General features: G+C 46.0%; 1 annotated feature.

Moving 5' to 3' along the window:
* Window positions 861-1,395: an enhancer, noted in NCBI's record as "NANOG hESC enhancer chr12:5143579-5144113 (GRCh37/hg19 assembly coordinates)". NCBI's record gives its function as "activates a minimal SCP1, AML or CMV promoter by ChIP-STARR-seq in naive H9 embryonic stem cells {active_cell/tissue: H9 hESC(naive)}" and the evidence as "EXISTENCE:reporter gene assay evidence [ECO:0000049][PMID:30033119]".

The raw sequence follows: 1,634 nt of genomic DNA on the forward strand, positions 1-1,634 counted from the left end.
GCTACTCGGGAAGCTGAGGCAAGAGAATCGCTTGAACCAGGGAGGGCAAGGTTGCAGTGAGCCAAGATCGCACCACCGCACTCCAGCCTGGGTGACTACTCCATCTCAAGAAAAAAAAAAAAAAAAAGGAAAGATGTCCTGAGGCAGTATGTGTACCTGCATGAAAACTGGAGTGGAGAGAGTAGCTGACAAAGGTTACATGGTCTTCCTGTGTTTTCCTACTCGGTAGATGGACAATGATAAGAATGATGGCAACGGAGCAAACCCTGACTGGGGCTTGTGGGGTCCCAGTTACTTTTCATGTATCATCAATCTGGGTGATAACCTGGCGGGCTGGATGCCATCTTCTCCTCTTTCAAATGAGAGACATGAGGCTCAGAAAAGTTATAGGACTTGCTCTAGGTAACACAGAGCATAAATAGTGTCATGGGATCCAAACCCAGATTTTTCTACTCCAAAGCTTGTGATCTTTCCCTCTGCCTCGCTGCATAGCCCCTACAGCTTCCTAACTCACAGGAAATTCCTGTGTCCTTTGGTTGGCTCTATTTATAGTCTTTCTAAAGAGGAATGTGTTGGGCCCTCTTCCTGGCATGAAATCTATCTTTAAAATTTCATTTATTAATAAACACATAGGGCCTGTTTTGTGCCAGACACTGGTCTGAGCAGTTTACAAATATTAACTAATTTAATCTTTACAGCAACTCTGTTATATTACTACTATTAATATAGTAGTAATAGGATTAGTGCCATTTTACAGAGAAGGAAGTGAAGGGACAGGGAAGCTAAGTGTTTTGCCCCAGGTCACACAGCCAGTAAGTTTTGCAGAGTCAGAATTCACACCCATCACCATGTATTGCTGCCCTTTCCTTCAGAGATTCGGACTTCTCATCCTAGCCTGTCTCCTCTTTCCTGTGAAAGCTGAGATGATGGGCTCAGGGGCTCAGAGTTCCCCCAAAGGAAGGCCCTGGGTGAGCCTGAATCTTTACAAATGTCCATAACGAGGTGAAAACTGGCATAGCCCAGCAGTGGCTTCTGGTGACTATCAGTTCTGTCTCAAAAAGAAAGTGCTTCTTTATTTCCAGTGTTTCTGAAGTGCTAATGGCCTCCACAAAGGCTCCTTCCTTTGAGATTGAAAACCAAACCTCTGACGTTCCACAGCTGAGTCTTGGTGGCCTTAACTTTCCTTTCTCTCAACAGCTTCCTTTTCATCTCACTCCTTCTGATCTCAACCAGGCTGCACAGATCTGACTCAGGCAGGAGCCAGGAGGCAGCAGGTGGAGCTGCCTTGGTTGGCTGAGGAGCCAATAGGCTGCTCCCCCGTCAGAAGTCACATAGACGATCAGGTCTGAAACTTCTGCCTCTTGAAGTCACTTGGGTTTGACAAGATGTAAGGCATTCCACCTTTTAGAGATTCTTGTGTATGAACAAGCAATGTCGTGGGAGCTCTTCGGGGCTCTCAGTTATTCATACCTTATCATTGGCTTTTCTCCAACTGTCCTTGAATAGTACTTGATGTAAGTAAGGCCAGGGTGAGAGAAGGGTATGGAGAGTTAGCAGGAGAACCCCAGTGAAAAACATCCTCTGCTGTACAGTCCTTCAGAGGAGATGCCCCAATAATGGCATAGCAGTGACCA

This window comes from Homo sapiens, chromosome 12 (assembly GCF_000001405.40).
Source record: "Homo sapiens chromosome 12, GRCh38.p14 Primary Assembly".
NCBI classification, from domain to species: domain Eukaryota; kingdom Metazoa; phylum Chordata; class Mammalia; order Primates; family Hominidae; genus Homo; species Homo sapiens.